At 50.9% G+C, this 16,447-nt stretch overlaps 3 annotated features.

Annotated features, from left to right (window-relative positions):
• Positions 10,265–10,394: a silencer, noted in NCBI's record as "silent region_18644". NCBI's record gives its function as "represses an Ori minimal core promoter by ATAC-STARR-seq in GM12878 lymphoblastoid cells {active_cell/tissue: GM12878}" and the evidence as "EXISTENCE:reporter gene assay evidence [ECO:0000049][PMID:35858748]".
• Positions 13,511–13,580: a silencer, noted in NCBI's record as "silent region_18643". NCBI's record gives its function as "represses an Ori minimal core promoter by ATAC-STARR-seq in GM12878 lymphoblastoid cells {active_cell/tissue: GM12878}" and the evidence as "EXISTENCE:reporter gene assay evidence [ECO:0000049][PMID:35858748]".
• Positions 15,043–15,092: an enhancer, noted in NCBI's record as "active region_26648". NCBI's record gives its function as "activates an Ori minimal core promoter by ATAC-STARR-seq in GM12878 lymphoblastoid cells {active_cell/tissue: GM12878}" and the evidence as "EXISTENCE:reporter gene assay evidence [ECO:0000049][PMID:35858748]".

Here is a 16,447-nt window from a genome sequence, read left to right as displayed (position 1 = left end):
ACAGTAAATATATACATAGGGATACACACTTAAAAAGATGTTTTGTTTGCATACTATTAATAAGTCTAGTGTGGATTACTGTACTCTGGGTAGCTTTCCTATATTAGCTTTTCTTCCCAAATATTTGAGCCAGTTTGTACTTAAATATAGCTTTTATTAAAAATACTTTGGTAGATTCATTTGAATTCACCCCTCAGGAAGACAGTGCACTGCAAATAAGGCAATTTTTTTAGTCCTTGTGTTAAAATGGATAAATGCCTACTAATATCTCTGATCAAATGTTATTTACAGGATATATGTCACAAGTTTTTCTTTGATTGCTTGACTTCTTGTGGGATCAGATCCACTAATCTTCTAGATTACATTCACTTCATCATTTATCCTTTTCTTTGTCTATAAATATCATCCTTAAGCCAGATTTCTTTTAGAGGCATATTAGGTGTTTATAATTTAGTTTCTACTGAGACATACAAATGTTACGTTGTGTGGCTTTCTTTCTCAAACTAAAATATACTTGACACTGATATTTTATATTTTAACAGTAAAGACACGCAGCATGTGGGGTGGCACTTTTTTTTTTTTTTTTTTTTTTTTTTTTTTTTTGAGATGGAGTTTCACTGTTATTGCCCAGGCTGGAGTGCAGTGGCATGATCTCAGCTCACTACACTCAGCTCACTGCAACCTCTGCCTTCCGGTTTCAAGCGATTCTCCTGCTTCAGCCTCCCGAGTAGCTGGGATTCAGGCACCCGCCACCACGCCCGGCAAATTTTTGTATTTTTAGTAGAGATGGGGTTTCACCACGTTGGCCAGGCTGGTCTTGAACTCCTGACCTCATGATCCGCCCATCTCGGCCTCCCAAAGTGCTGGGATTACAGGCATGAGCCACCACACCCAGCCCTTTCTAGACAGCTTTGTAATAGAAATGCGCACATTGAAATGCACACATTCCTCAAAGGTCAGTCTTTGGTCCTCTGATTCACTGTATATGCTTTTCCTTAGAGATCTCATTCATTCCACTTCATTTATCACCTCTCTGCCTTTGACTCCCGAATTCATCTTCAAGCATAATGTTTCTCCTGAGCTGTAGTGTTGATTTCCATCTACCTGTCAGACATTTCCGCTTGGATATTCTGTGAACTCCGTGTCTGGAACTGCGTTCACATCTGCTCAAATCAGCTCCCTCTACTTACATCCCTTTTTCTGTTCATTGTACTACCAGTTACCGATGCTCAAAATTCTGGTGTCATCTTTTGATTCCTGGAGCTCCCTGGGTCCCCAATCCAATCAGGCAACAAACCTCATCCATTCTTTCTTAACAATGTCTCTTGCAGCTGCACTTCTTCCATTTCTGCCACCACTATGCTCATTTACACCCTTATCAACCCACACAGGACTACTGCAACAGCCTAATTAATCTCACAGCCTTCGAATTGTTGCCATGCTTCCATATTTTCCAATTCATCCTGCACATTCTCTTCAAATTCATCTTCCTAGAACACCTGTTTGATCATTTCATCCCCCTGATAAATTCCTTAGCCTGACATTTAAAGCTCCACACAATCTGGCCCCAACCTGGCCTCATGCACCTAAACCCTTGGCTCCAGCCAGTGCAGACTGCTCACTGCTTGCTGGGTTCTCTCTATGCTACCTCCTGCTCATCCTGATCACTCTCTGGAGATGCCCCCTCCCAATCTACTGTCTTCCTCTGCATTGAGACTTCCTCTAATTAAACCTTCTATTTGGAGCTAGTCCTGACCACTCCAGATGGCAGTCATTTCTCCCCTTGAGTGATTAGATCTGTGCCCCTCCTTTGGCACTCAACAGCTACATGAATGGATTCAGAAGTGACTTTTAGTCGAACAGTAGGTCCTCATGTCTTGTCTTATCCTTGCACAAGAACTGAGTTTCTTACTAGTCTGAGCTGTGCTGCTGTTCAAGTATACTTGTCAATGGCTAAAACTACCTTTTGGGAAAGCCTCACGTTCTCCTCCAAAGGACACCTTTTGATCCCTCCAAGCACACTGGCTTTCCTTTTGTGGCTAGACCTAAGAAGGAGGAAGCACTCCTGGGCCTGGACAGCCGCAGCAGGGGGACTGCTTGAAAAGTAAAGGTGTTAGGAAAATGATGAAACTCATTCCAGTGCTTCTGGGGGTCTTCCTTAGTAACCTGGGGGTGAGGGCACTGCACTTATGTACAACAGCACAACATTGCCCCAAATGCTGCAGGGACCAGTGGCGGGGGCCGGGAGGGGCTGGCTGGCCTACCTGTCCTTCTGGGTGGCTTTAGTCACAGCTGTCCCTAGACCGTGGATGAGGTCAAAAGTCTTCAAGGATAAGCAGCACACGGCTGGGCTCTCTGGCAGGAAGGCTTCAGGGAAGGACCCATGTGAGGCTTTGTCTGCCCAGTTAGAATGAGAGGGCTTTGTACAATCAGCACGTATGCCTCTTGGACCCCAGTGACACTGCCATATCTCACTGGGTATGCCAGTAGCTTTCTGCTGGGTGTGCAGGATTGTTAGGCGTTAGCTCTGAGCCACATTATAATTTGATCCCTGGATGTTCATCAATAATAACGTTTCCACACTGAACTGCATTGACCTGGGATGGGACAGGTTATGGATTCTACAGAGGCGGCACCTCAGTGGGAGTTAGGAAGGAGAGTCTAACAGCAGGATGGGTGTGGAGAACAGCACCACAGCCCTGCCACCCCGCAGGGGACAGCAGCGACCCTGAGGATATTTCTTAGCAAACTTGCATGCAGACAGTCCCAGGCACTACTGTGGATGAGATTTGTATGTAAGTCCTTTTCTGCCCCAAACCAAAATGAGTATTTCAAAATCAGTCTGGCTAGAAGAGCCACTGGCCTCAATGCACTGAGCATTCAGTGGGAGGACTAAGCTCTGTCATTAATTGGGGCAGGACAACTAGTCTCTCACACTGATTTTTTTTCTTCTTCTTCTTTTGAGACGGAGTCTCGCTCTGTCACCCAGGCTGGAGCGCAGTGGTGTGATCTCATCTCACTGCAACCTCTGCCTCCCAGGTTCAAGCAATTCTCATGCCTCAGCCTCCCAAGTAGCTGGGATTACAGATGCCTGCCACCACACCCAGCTAATTTTGTATTTTTTAATAGAGATGGGGTTTCACCATGTTGGCCAGGCTGGTCTCGAACTCCTAACCTCAAGCGATCCACGTGCTGCGATTATAAGCATGGGCCACCGCACCCAGCCCTACACTGATTTCTGATAAAATAAAATGGGCTGGATGTGGTGGTTCACGCCTGTAATCCCAGCACTTTGGGAGGCTGAGGCAGGAGGATCACTTGAGCTCAGGTGTTGGAGACCAGCCTGGGCAACATAGTGAGACCCTGTCTCTAAAAAAAATAATAAGTGATAAGATACTCTTCATACCTAGAGGTAATTGAGAAGCTCAAAGTGAAAATAATGAATGGACTGCTTTTAGGTGAAGGAAAAAAGAGCAAATTCATATAAAAGTAGGAAGTGGCCCCTTTGGCACTGTAAAGCAACTGTCTCGTCCTTGGATCACACTGAGCTACAGATCTTCAAGGCCTTGACACCCACCCACCCCAACTGTGCTAGCCCAGCTTTGTCTGCCTCCTGCTCCCTCTGTCCTTCCCTTCCCGAGACCTGGCCATTCATTGCCCCGTCATAGACAGTAGCACCCTTGTAGCCTGAAGGCTGGGCTTTCTGGTGTACCAAGAAAACACAGTCTCCTTCCTTTCCCATTTCTAAACTTGAAGGAAAAAATAACAATCCCGAATCAGACTCTGCTTTCATGCACTGCATCCCATAGGAGGAAAGTTAGAAGGTGGTGATCAGCTCCACTGGGGGCAAAACTTGTTTTCTCAGGAGCAGCAGCCAGGCATGATTCTTTCTCAAACACATGGTGTGGAGACTGGAATCAGGCAGCTCTGTGATAGTTTTGGCCCAGAATACAGGCACCAGCTTAATGAGCTCCACCTCCGAAGAAAGGCCCCTTGTGTTCCTAGTGGGGAGGAGTGTCATCCACGGTACAGCCTGAGGAGTCCCCTGACTCGGGAAAGACTTGGCAGACGGAAATCTGAACCTAAGCTGCCAGGCCGCAAACCTGGCGGTTTGAGAAGGTGTTACGTGGCTTCCATCTCAAAATTAAATTCCGTATGACACTCTGCTTCCAGTTGAATGGTCTGCGTGAATTCTTTAAACAAAGCACCCCAAAACCACAATAACCATTTAGTACCTCTCTCCCTGGACCAGAAATTCAGACAGGACTCAGTGGGGACAGCTCCTGTCTGTCAGCTCCACAATGTCTGCAGGTTTACATGTCTGGCAGTTGATGCTAGCTACTGACTAGGAGCCTAACTGGAGATACTGGCAGAACACCCACGCTTGGCCTCCACACAGGGCCTGGGCTTCCTCATAACATGGTGGCTGAGTTCCTAGGGCCAGTGTCATGAGAAAGTGAGAGAGAGAGAGGCAGAAGCATATTGCCTTTTATTTATAACTTAGCTTTGGAAGTACCATGTTTCTTCACTGCATTCTGTTGGTCAAGGCAGCTACAAAGAACTGCTCAGTGTCAAGGGGAAGGAACACAGACCCCTACCACTCAATGGAGGAATGTGCCACATTACAGCACGTCAGATGGAACATTTATTGGTGTGACCATTTTTGGAAAATACAATCTGCCATAATGTACAGTGCCAAAAAAAATTAATGCTCTTTGTCTCATTGACCTCAGGAAAATTTACCTTAGGAAAATATTCAACAGAAAAAAATAGTTATGCCTAAAGGTGTCCGTCGTGAGTGCTTATTCATTTATTTACCCATACATCCAATAATTTTTTTTTTTTGAGACAGAGTCTCGCTCTGTTGCCCAGACTGGAGTGCAGTGGCACAATTTCTGCTCACTACAACTTCTGCCTCCTCGGTTCAAGTGATTCTCGTGTCTCAGCCTCCGGAATAGCTGGGATTACAGGCGCCTGCCACCACACCCAGTCAATCCAATAAATACTGATTGAAGTATTTTGCCAGATGCTAGGAATACAAAGAAAACGTAAGATCTATCCTTCTTTCTTTCAAATAGCTTCCAGTCTATGATAGCTAAAAATAAAACCCATCCAAATGTCCAGTAATAAGATGGTTTAATAAATTCTATGTAGACCAGGCAGGGTGGCTCACACCTGTAATCCCAGCACTTTGGGAGGCCAAGGCGGGTGGATCACCTGAGGTCAGGAGTTCGAGACCAGCCTGGCTAATATGGTGAAACCCCATCTCTACTAAAAATACAAAAATTAGCCGAGTGTGGTAGTGCACGCCTCTAATCCCAGCTACTCGGGAAGCTGAGGCAGGAGAATCGCTTGAACCCAGGAGGCAGAGGTTGCAGTGAGCCAAGATCGCACCATTACACTCCAGCCTGGACAACAAGAGTGAAACTCCGTCTCAAAAAATAATAATAAATTATATGTAAACTCTAGGAGATACGATCTTGAGATGTTATCACTTAAGGATTTTTATTTTGACCTCTTTTTAAAACTCTCTGCAGCTCTGAAAAGACTATTTGGAAAGATGGGGAAATGTTGGATAGAAGTGAAAACAAATCAAAGTTGTATGTCTACTGTGATTACAATTATGTAAAAATATGCATGCATATCACCAAGGACTAGAAGAGAATATCCAAATGTGAACTCACTTGTTGAAGTGGGAATATGCATGATTGTCCTTACGTTTTCTTCTCTTTTCTTTTTTTTTGAAGTATTTTTCAATGTTATATTGCTTTTGTAATTGAAAAACTCCAGAAAAAATATTGTGGTGCAAATTAAATTGTATAGGTCAAAGGGAGAGAAAGTACTGCTCGGTGGGAAGCTGACAGGAGAGACTTCATTAAAAAGGTGACATTTGGGCCAGGTGCAGTGGTGGCAAACACCTATAATCCCAGCACTTTGGGAGGCCTGAAGTTAGGAGTTTGAAACCAGCCTGGCCAGCCAACAAGGTGAAATCCCGTCTCTACTAAAAAGACAAAAAAATTAGCTGGGCACAGTGGCTCACGCCTGTAGTCGCAACTACTCAGGAGGCTGAGGCAGGAGAATCAGTTGAACCCAGGAGGTGGAGGCTGCAGTGAGCTGAGATCACGCCACTGCACTCCAGCCTGGGTGACAGAGTGAGACTCCATCTCAAAAATAAAAATAAAAAGGTGATATTTGGATTTCAGTAGGAGGAAGAAGCAGGCTTAAGACAGGAAAGGAAGAGATGTCTTTAGAAAACTGCAAAGAATCCAAACTGAGATGGGTTTAGAGGAGCATGGGCAGATAGCACTGGAAGGAAGAGGGGGCCTCAGGTGCTGGACTCAGGATTTCTGACTTTACTCCGAGAGACTCTGGAGCTTTTTGAGCACAGCATTAACTGAAAGAGTGCTGAAGGGAGACGACCCACCGCAGTTCTGAAGAAGGGCAGAGCTGGAGCAGTTGGGAAGACCCATGAGGAGGCCCCAGCAGTCATCCAGGGCCTGGACTGCAGAGGCGGCAAAAAAAAAAAAAAATACTGGAGAGCATTTGTGGAAGACAAATGGTCACAACTTGGGAGCTCAGTGCACGTATCTAGGTGACTGGGAAGAGGGTGGCACCAATACCAGCAACAGAGCAATGAGGAAGAGGAACCGGTTTGCAGCAGAAGAGAAATTTTAAACGGGTTGCATTTGAGCGGCTTTGGAACATCCACATGGAGATAACAACAGAGAGTTGGAAATGCTAGTCTGAACCTTAAGGAGGAAAGCTCTACTTTTGGCAGAAGAACTGGAACGTATCCCCTCTTCCTGGAGTGCCTTTCCCTCAGCTGTCTCCTTTCCGGTCCTCAGTAAGGTCTCTGCTCAAGTACCCCTTCATGCCCTTTCCTGCCACCCTACAATGGTGCCCCTGTCACACACACCACCGCCCTCGCTCTGCTCAGTTCTTCTCTGCACCTACCTGAGATTTTGCTTATTACCTGCTCCCCTCCTCGAGCATCACCTTTAGAGTTGGGACACTAGTCTCAACTTCCTGTTTGAAAAACTGAACATTAAAAGGCAACCATGTCAAGAATATTCAGAATGAAGGCTGGGCACGGTGGCCCAGGCCTGCAATCCCAACACTTTGGGAGGTGGAGGCAGGCGGATCACTTGCACCCAGGAATTCGAAACCAGCCTGGGCAACATGGCAAGAAGACCCCGCTGGGGAGGTGCGTGCCTGTAGTCCCAGCTACCACAGAGGCTGAGGTGGGAGGATCACTTGAGCCTGGGAGGTCAAGGCTGCAGTGAGCTGTGATGGTGCCACTGCACTCCAGCCTGGGTGACAGAGCAAGACTCTGTCCCAAAAAGAAAAAGAAAAGAATATTCAGGATTAAAAAACAAAAAAGTAAAAAGCAACCAATTCACTCTTAACGAAAATTTCTACTGTGAATTGATACAACAAATAACATGTTCTTCCGACTCCTTTAGTCTTAAGGGTTTAAAACTTTCCTGCTAAGTTATAGATCAAAAATACAACTCAGAAGGAAGGATACAAACCAGCTCTTTGTTTAAAAAGAAAAAATTGGCCAGGCGCAGTGGCTCACACCTGTAATCCCAATACTTTGGGAGGCCCATGCAGGTGGATCGCCCGAAGTCAGGAGTTCAGGACCAGCCTGGCCGACATGGTGAAACGCCGTCTCTACTAAAAATACAAAAATTAGCCGGGCATGGTGGCGTGCACCTGTAGTCCCAGCTACTCAGGAGGCTGAGGCATGAGAATTGCTTGAACCCCAGAGGTGGAGGTTGCAGTGAGCCGAGATCACGCCATTGCACTCCTCCTGGGCAACAAGAGCGAAATTCCATCTCAAAAAAAATTAATTAAATTTAAATTTTATTTATTTTGTTTTGTTTTTTGAGACAAGGTCTCATTCTGTCACCCAGGCTGGAGTGCTGTGGCACAATCACGGCTCACTGCAAACCTCAACCTCCTGAGCTCAGGTGATGCTCCTGCCTCAGCCTCTGGAGTAGATGGGACCACAGGCACATGCCACCATGTCCAGCTAATTTTTGTATTTTTTGTAAAGATGGGGTTCTTGCTTTATTGCCCAGGCTGGTCTTGAACTCCCAGGCTCAAATAATCCTCCTGCCTCAGCCTCCCAAAATGTTGGGACTATGGGTGTGAGCCACCGCGCCAGGCCCACACCAGCTCTTTCTGAAGGAAGGTTCCTGAGTGGTGGCAGATGCTTCCACGTACATCCCGTGTGGCCAGCACTTGTTCACGTGAACACTTATAGCTGCAAGGGAACCTGGGCAAAGTAATTTTGGTTCTCTGTGGCCATGTTCAGCTAAGAATCTAACACAAAGGAAGAAGAGGATGGCTATGAATCAAAAGCAGCAGTCCAACCCCACAGGAGATGTCTAAATAAGCCCACAGAGCCTTGGCTACACCTGACTCTGGGGACGGTCACTGCTGCGGATGGAGGACTCATCAGTTCCCTTGAAACCTCTTACTCTCACCAAGCGCTTCCTTAAGTGGTTCATCTTTTTTTTTTTTTTTTTGAGACAGAGTCTCGCTCTGTTTCCCAGGCTGGACTGCAGTAGAGCGATCTCAGCTCACTACAACCTCTGCCTCCTGGGTTCAAGCGATTCTCCTGCCTCAGCCTCCCAAGCAGCTGGGACTACAGGCACACGCCACCATGCCCAGCTAATTTTTGTATTTTTAGTAGAGACGAGATTTCACTATGTTGGTCAGGCTGGTCTCAAACTCCTGACCTCATGATCCGCCCACCTCGACCTCCCAAAGTGCTGGGATTACAGGCGTGAGCCACCGCGCCCAGCCAATTGATTCATCTTCTGTCCCTTCCCCAGGCACTGGAAATGAAATGTTCAATAAATCCTGCAGAGCAAAAACAATGTAGACATGTCCACAGTGCTTCTGGAACAACATTCCAAGTATTTTTAGCCAGCGCCAACTACATAATTTGCGAGAGAACCAGAGCAAAATGAAAACGTGGGGCCCTCTGTTCAAGAATTTCAAGACAGCCACAGCAGGGCATTACACCCAGCACAGAGCCCTCCTAAGGGCCCATGCAGGCTGGGTGCAGGCCTGTGAAGACACCTCTGTGGCCCACCCCACATCACACACATAGGTGTGGTTTACAATATGAAGCACCCCATGCCAGTAGCGTTGGCTTTTCCAGCTGCTTCAGGTTTTTTGGTGAGATTTTGTCCTTGTCACAGCTCAGAAAAGCTTAGAAGGGGCCTTGGAGATCAAACAGTTGGACTGTCTTGTTTTACAGACGGCCCAGAAGCCCAGAGTGGGCCTGTCAGTGCCCAGGCCCTGCTGGTGCTGGGGTTCGAGGCCTTTCTAGAAGCGTGGCCTCAGGACACTGCTGCAAGAGGACGCCCCCTGGCGGCGCTGCTGGGGGGCTTGTTTCCTCCTGGCTTTCCCCCCCAGGCTGGCTCCTCTAACCCTCCCTGCACCTCCTGTTGCCTGCTTGGGTCAGACTCTTCCAGCCTCTGGTCAAAGCGGAGACAAGAGGTCACGCCATTGGGAGGGTCACAGGAAGGCCTGACAGTGGCCTGACAAGGGAGAGCTGGGCCCCTGCACTCTGATAATCCCCTCCACGGCCACCTCCGTGCTGAGGGCTGTGCCCCTTGGCACCGAGATGCATGCAGAGCTTACAGGAGGACTTCCTGGCTGGGCACAGCCTGCCAGCCAGGTACCAAGGACACCCTGATGGGCGCACAGGACAGTCCTGGCGGAGGCTGGAGCAGGAGGCGACGGGCTGCGGCATGGGGGTTGCACAGAGCAGAGGCAGCAGCGAGGCCAGATGGCCTGGTCCCGGGGAATGGGCAGGCGCTGAGGTGTCAGATGGGCACGCTTGTCCCCGAGGGCAGGCAGGCGGCGCGAAGCCAGGCGGAGGAGAGAGGCGGGATGAGCAGGGGGCCAGCCAGTCACGCATGTGGTCCCCAGGCAGCTGCAGGCACTGCGGGCCCTCCTGGGCCCGGACTCTGGGCCAGGCTGCGCAGCTGGCACTTGGAAAGGTGCCAGGGCTCCTGCGGGGCCTCCCGAGGAGGGGCAGGGAGCCTGGCTTCTCATGGCCACCTGCTCCTGGCTGGAGCCCAGAGCCGGCTTGTGTCAGCCTCGGGCCTGGCTCGCCTCCTGGCTTCTGACCAGGCCTGGCCCTCCCCACCACCCACCACACCCCTGCCCGCCACCCCCCTGCTGTCCCCACCACACCCTGAGGGGTTCTGGCTCCTGAGGTGCTGAGAGCTGTGAGCAAAGCAGAAGCAGTTGGGCACCGTGTCCCCTTCACACCCTGGCAGCACTGCCCCGGCCTGGGACAGCCCCCAGGTGGAGCACACAGCCCAGGCCAAACCCACACCCTGGGTTTGTGGTGTATGTGGTATGTGTAGCTCTCATGTGTATGCATTAGAACCTGGAAGCCCAGGTGTGAGAAGGCACCTTTTTCTGTCTCACCTTGAAGCAGTGTGGCCCTGCTACGGTCTCCCCAAAGGCTCCAGGGCCACACCAACACAGCTGTCCCTGCCTCACTGAGGACACGGAGGCCGATGATCACTAGTTTCCTGTAACATGGGGAGTTGTGGGCAAAAGAAACGCAACTGTTTCTCACCTGCTCCCGTGGGCTCGAGAGCTGTGAGGTGTTTGCCAAGCGGCCAGGGACCCTCAGCCCATAGTGCCTGGGTGCCCACAGCCCTTGATCGGTGGACTCTGTGGCCCCTTTCTAGAAGATGCTTTGCAGAACTGACTGCCACTCTCCTTCCTCCCCCACAGCATCTCCCTGAGCTCTGGAGAGAGGGCCTGACAGGGCTCAGGTGGAGGGAGGCAGGGTGGCCGTGGGCAGAGAGAGGGCCTGGGACCCGTGAGAAGACGGCAGGCCGAGGCCGGCGCCTCCCTGGAGCTGAGGGAGACCCGCAGGCCTGTAAGGGGCCCTATGCCTAAACCCTGCCCTCCACAGGGGCCGCTGCCGTTGTGCGCCTGGACCAGGCAGGGAGAGGGAGGAAGGTCAAAAACGGCCTCTCCTTCCTCCTTCCTCCTACCGGTCCCCGTGGCTGTTCAGGAACTGGCTCCACTGACTTTTCTGAGCTGCTCTTTGGAGCCAGGCGGTTCCCCGGGTACCAGCGCCAGGCCCAGCCTCTCCGCGGCTGCCCCCATGGCCCCAGAGGCCGGGGAGGTTCACACCCCTGTGGTGGTCACTTAGGTTTGCTGTTCTCCTGCCAGAAGCTTCTCTGCCCTGGCTGGGGTGGGGAGGGAAGAGTCCGTGTGGTCTGGCCCGGCCCTGGCCTCTGCCCGAGTGCCCCCCAGGAAGACCCTGGCTGCCAGCGCGCCAGCCCCTTCCCCGCCGGAGCCACTCCCAGTGGGGACCGCAGGCAGAGTCTGCTCGGGGCCCAGTGGCTGCCACCCCTGGCTGAACTCTTTTCTTCCCTGCATCCGTGTTCTCCGTCTGCAAAAAGAGATCAAAAATCCCCGGCTCTGAGTCAGGGGGCCGTAACCAGGGGCCTCTGCTCCTCCGCACAGCACAGCCCTCAGGAGGCAGGGACGCAGTTTGTCTCCAAAGGCGAAAACGGGCTGAGTGAGCCACTGTCTGCTCCTGCCCGTGCTGCCTGCCTGCGTGCGTGGCAAACGTGCCCTGCCTGGAGTCACAGTTCCTAAGTCCCCGTCACAGACTCCCACGCAGGGCAGGGGGCCATGGGCCTCTGGTGTATCTGGGGAATGTGGTTGCAGTGTGAGGGTGTGGTGTGTGGTGCATGGTGCGTATGTTTGTGTGGGGTGTATGTGGTTTGTGGTGTATGTGGTTTGTGTAGGTGTGGGGTGTGTAGAGGGGTGTGAGGGTGTATTTGTGTGGTGCATATGGTGTGTGCAATACATGTATGGGGCTGTGTATATGGTGTGTGTGTGTTTCTGGTTTGTGGTGTATGTGGTATGTGTAGCTCCAATGTGTATGCGTGGTATATGGTGTGTGGGGGTTAGCAGGTTGTATGGGTGAGTGTTGGGTGGTGTTTGTGTGATGTGTGGTGTGTGTGGTTTGTGGTATGTATCTGTGGCTTGTGTGTGTGTGTGTGGTCTGCAGTGTGTGTGGCTTGCGGTGTGTGATGTGTATTTGTGTGGTGTGTGTTTTGTGGTATGTTTGTGTGGCTTGCAGTGTGTGTGTGTGTGTGATGTGTGTGCGGCTTGTGGTGTGTGTGATGTGGTATGTTGTTTCTGGTGTGTGTTTCTGTGATGTGGGTGGCTTGTGGTGTGTGATGTGTGTGTGGCTTGTATGTGTGGCTTGTAGTGTGTGGTTTTTTATTTGTGGTGTGTGTGGCCTGTGGTGTGTGTGTTTGTGTGATGTGGTGTATGTGGCTTATGGTGTGTGTTTGTGATGTGTGTGTGGCTTGTGTGTGGTTTGTGGTCTGTGGTGTATGTGGCTTGTGATGTGTGTATGATGTGGCATGTGTGGCTTGTATGTGTGGCTTGTGGTATGTGTGGCTTGTGTGTGTGGCTTGTGTGTGTAATGTGTGTGTGGCTTGTGTGTGGTTTGTGGTCTGTGGTGTGTGTGTGATGTGTGTGTGAGGTGTGTGTGGCTTGTGGTGTGTGTGATGTGTGTGTGTGATGTGTGTGTGGCTTGTGTGTGGTTTGTGGTCTGTGGTGTGTATGTGATGTGTGTGTGAGATGTGTGTGTGGCTTGTGGTGTGTGTGTGATGTGGTGTGTGATGTGTGTGTGGCTTGTGTGTGATGTGTGTGTGGTCTGTGGTGTGTGTGATGTGGTGTGTGTGTGATGTGTGTGTGGTTTGTGGTGTGATGTGTTTGTGTGATGTGTGGCCTGTGGTGTGTGTGTGTGTGATGTGTGTGTGGCCTGTGGCGTGTGTGTGTCTGATGTGGTATGTGTGGCTTGTGGCATGTGTGATGTGGTTTGTGTGGCCTGTGGCGTGTTTGTGTGATATGACGCAATGCGGCTTGTGCCTGCACTGCCCTGGAGCAGAGTTCCCTAAGGGAAACCTGATGTACAGTACTTCCTAGGGCTGCTGCAGGGAAGGGCCTTGGTGCCTTCCTAAGAACAACTAAGAGCAATTTTCTTAGAAGTGTGGTTTTGAGGCCGGGCGCGGTGGCTCTCGCCTATAATCCCACCACTTTGGGATGCCGAGGTGGGCAGATCACCTGAGGTCAGGAGTTCGAGACCAGCCTGGCCAACATGGTGAAACCCCGTCTCTACTAAAAATACAAAAATTAGGCTGGGCTCAGTGGCTCACGCTTGTAATCCCAGCACTTTGGGAGGCCGAGGCGGGCGGATTACGAGGTCAGGAGATCGAGACCACAGCGAAACCTCGTCTCTAAAAAAATATTTTAAAAAATTAGCAGGGCGTGGTGGTGGGCGCCTGTAGTCCCAGCTACTCGGAGAGGCTGAGGCAGGAGAATGGCTGAACCCAGGAGGCGGAGCTTGTAGTGAGCTGAGATCGCGCCACTACACTCCAGCCTGGGTGACAGAGCGAGACTCCCTCCGTCTCAAAAAAAAAAAAAAAAAATACAAAAATTAGTCCGGTGTGGTGGCGTGCGCCTATAATCCCAGCTACTAGGGAGGCTGAGAGAGGAGAATCACTTGAAACCAGGAAGCAGAGGCTGCAGTGAGCCGAGATCACACCACTGCACTCCAGCCTGGGCGACAGAGCGAGACTCAAAAAAAAAAAAAAAAGTGTGGTTTCGGCCCCTCCTACAGCACGGCCACCTGTGGCCCTTCCTTAAAATGCAGGTCTGGGCCCACGCTGATTTACTGAATCAGAACCTGTAGGCCTGGGGCCTCCTAACCTGCCCTTTTTAACAAGCTTTCCCGGTAACTGCACCTGGTGAGTTCACACAGCGCGACCTCGGGGAGCCATGGCCCGGTCTTCCTTAGTACCTGCTGATGCGCCTTTCTGGGGTGGTGGGGCCCCACAGTGTACTTGGTAGCAAACATCTCCCTGGGTCACAGTTGTTCTTGCATGCTAGTGTTCTTGAACATTTAATATCTCCTCTGATTAGCCCCCTCAGCCTCACTGCACTGTGCCCATTCGAAGCCTTCTGGTTTAAGTAGCATGAATATCACGGCCACTGGGTGCGTTTTGTTCTCAGGCCATTTCGTGGGTAGATTTGTGTTTTCTCACCATTTTATTTTATTTTATTTTATTTTATTTTTATTATTATTATTTTGAGATGGAGTCTCGCGCCGTCTCCCAGGCTGGAGTGCAGTGGCACGATCTCAGCTCACAGCAAGCTCCGCCTCCCGGGTTCACACCATTCTCCTGCCTCAACCTCCCAAGTAGCTGGGACTACAGGTGCCTGCCACCACGCCCGGCTGATTTTTTTAAAAAATATTTTTAGTAGAGACGAGGTTTCACCGTGTTAGCCAGGATGGTCTCGATCTACTGACCTCGTGATCCGCCTGCCTCGGCCTCCCAAAGTGCTGGGATTACAGGCGTGAGCCACCATGCCCGGCCTCTCACCATTTTAATAATATCCTTGAGAGCAGACACATTTCCTGTTTTTGTTTCCTTTTTGTTCCCCAGGGTCTAATGTGTGTTCCGTACACAGCCCATGCCCAACTGCAGGCGGAAGTGAAATGGCGACAACCTGGAGAGACTCTAAGAGCCCGTGGGAGTTCCTGGAGGAACAGGGCAGGGCCCCTCGCTGCAATGGCCCCACACCTGCGGCTGCCTCTTCTGCACCCACACCTGCCTGGGATGACCGCCTCCCCCCGCCTCACTAGATGAACATGAGGATGAGGGCTGAGCTCCTGCTGGCGGACCCAGAGCAGAAACGGGCACAGCAGAGGCCGCAGGGCAGGTGGCTGCAACGGGCAGAGCACCCACCTCTCCATCTGCTTGGCTGACAGTGAGGTGGGACAGGTGCCAGCCTGAGCCCAGTCACCTCCCCCGGTCACCTTGCCAGGTCTCTCTCTGTGCCCAGCCCTTTGCAGCCACCACCCCCGTGGCTTCCTCCTCTAGCCCAGCAAGACTGAGAGTGCCCTTCTGCAGGAAGAGGGCCTCACTGCTGGTCCCCAGGCAGCAGGATCTGGGAAGGAGACAGCACATCTTCAATGCCACTCTCCATATTCATGTGCCCGGCCGCCCCGGGGGAGCAGGAGGCTTTGAGGACTTGCAGGATCAAACGTCTTCACAAGGCTTTAGTCTCTCCACCCACAAGCTGAGTCCAATTTTAACTGAAGCCTGTGAAGTGCACGGTCCTACAGAAACCATTACAAGAATCTTCTGGAAAAACAGAGGCAATACTCCCTGTAGGAAGGAGGATGAAAGAACTCACGGCTTGCCAAGCCCTCTGGGCAATAGGTCCCAGGGTACCCAGCAGACAGCTTCACCATCTCAGGTCTCTCCAAGGTCTCTCCCAAACCTGGTCTCATTAAAAGAAAACCAAAAGGGCCATATTATTTGGTTCCCATCTGGCCTCTCGAAATTTCAAAACTTTAATCAGTAGAAGGTAAAAAAAATTAGGCCGGGCTCAGTGGCTCATGCCTGTAATCCCAACACTTTGGGAGGCCGAGGCGGGTGGATCCCCTGAGGTCAGGAGTTCAAGACCAGCCTGGCCAACATGGTGAAATCTCTTCTCTACTAAAAATACAAAAATTAGCCAGGCACACTGGTGCGTGTCTGTAACTTCAGCTACTTGGGAGGCTGAGGCAAGAGAATTGCTTGAACCCAGGAGGCAGAGGTTGCAATGAGCTAAGATCGTGCCACTGCACTGCAGCCTGGCGACAGAGTGAGATTCCTTCTCAAAAAAAAAAAATTAACAATAACAAGGAAGCCACCAGCTGGCCCTTCCTGTGATCTTGCCAGACTGGATGGGAAATGGATAACACCATCTGGGCCTGACTTTCCTCCCAGGGAAGAGTGAGCAATTCTACCATTCGAGGACCCAAGTTTAAAAAGAAAAAAAAAAAAGACTTTCCAAATGAGGAAGAGTTATGCCCCTAAGCAGCTTAGGTTTAAAATACCGTTTGCTTCCTGCATCCCACTGCCGCCGCCCCAAGCCAGCCCTCTGTCCCCTATTCCAGGCTAAACGTTACGACGCAGCATCTTCAGGAAGGGCTGGCAGGTCAAGGTACCACAGGAGGCCCCCAGTGCAGACAGGTGCAGAAGTCTGGGAGCAGGAAATAAATTATGCTGGTGGAAAAGACAAAAAAAGAGTTCTAATTCTTCCTACAAGCCCAAGTCTATGATTTACACTTCTTCCTGGAGCCACCTTGCTCTCACCAGGGAGAGTCTGAACCTAAGTCTATGGTGGAAAGGTGGGGAAGAGGCACACTGCCCACGGTGACATTCAAGCAGAGGAGAGAGGTTTGGTGGCTCGTGCTGGCTGTCCCTTTTTCAAGGAGCCACTGCAAGGGAGCCTAGGCTTCTGGAGCCGGGAGGGCAGTGCCTCCATGGAAGGTTCCCATGCGTTCTCCTCTGGCAATGGTGGAGTGGCCCCTGCCCCATTT

Source organism: Homo sapiens, chromosome 7 (genome assembly GCF_000001405.40).
Source record: "Homo sapiens chromosome 7, GRCh38.p14 Primary Assembly".
Classification (NCBI taxonomy): Eukaryota; Metazoa; Chordata; class Mammalia; order Primates; family Hominidae; genus Homo; species Homo sapiens.
The sequence above is the reverse complement of the archived record's forward strand: the minus strand, read 5'-3'. Positions and strand labels throughout refer to the sequence as shown.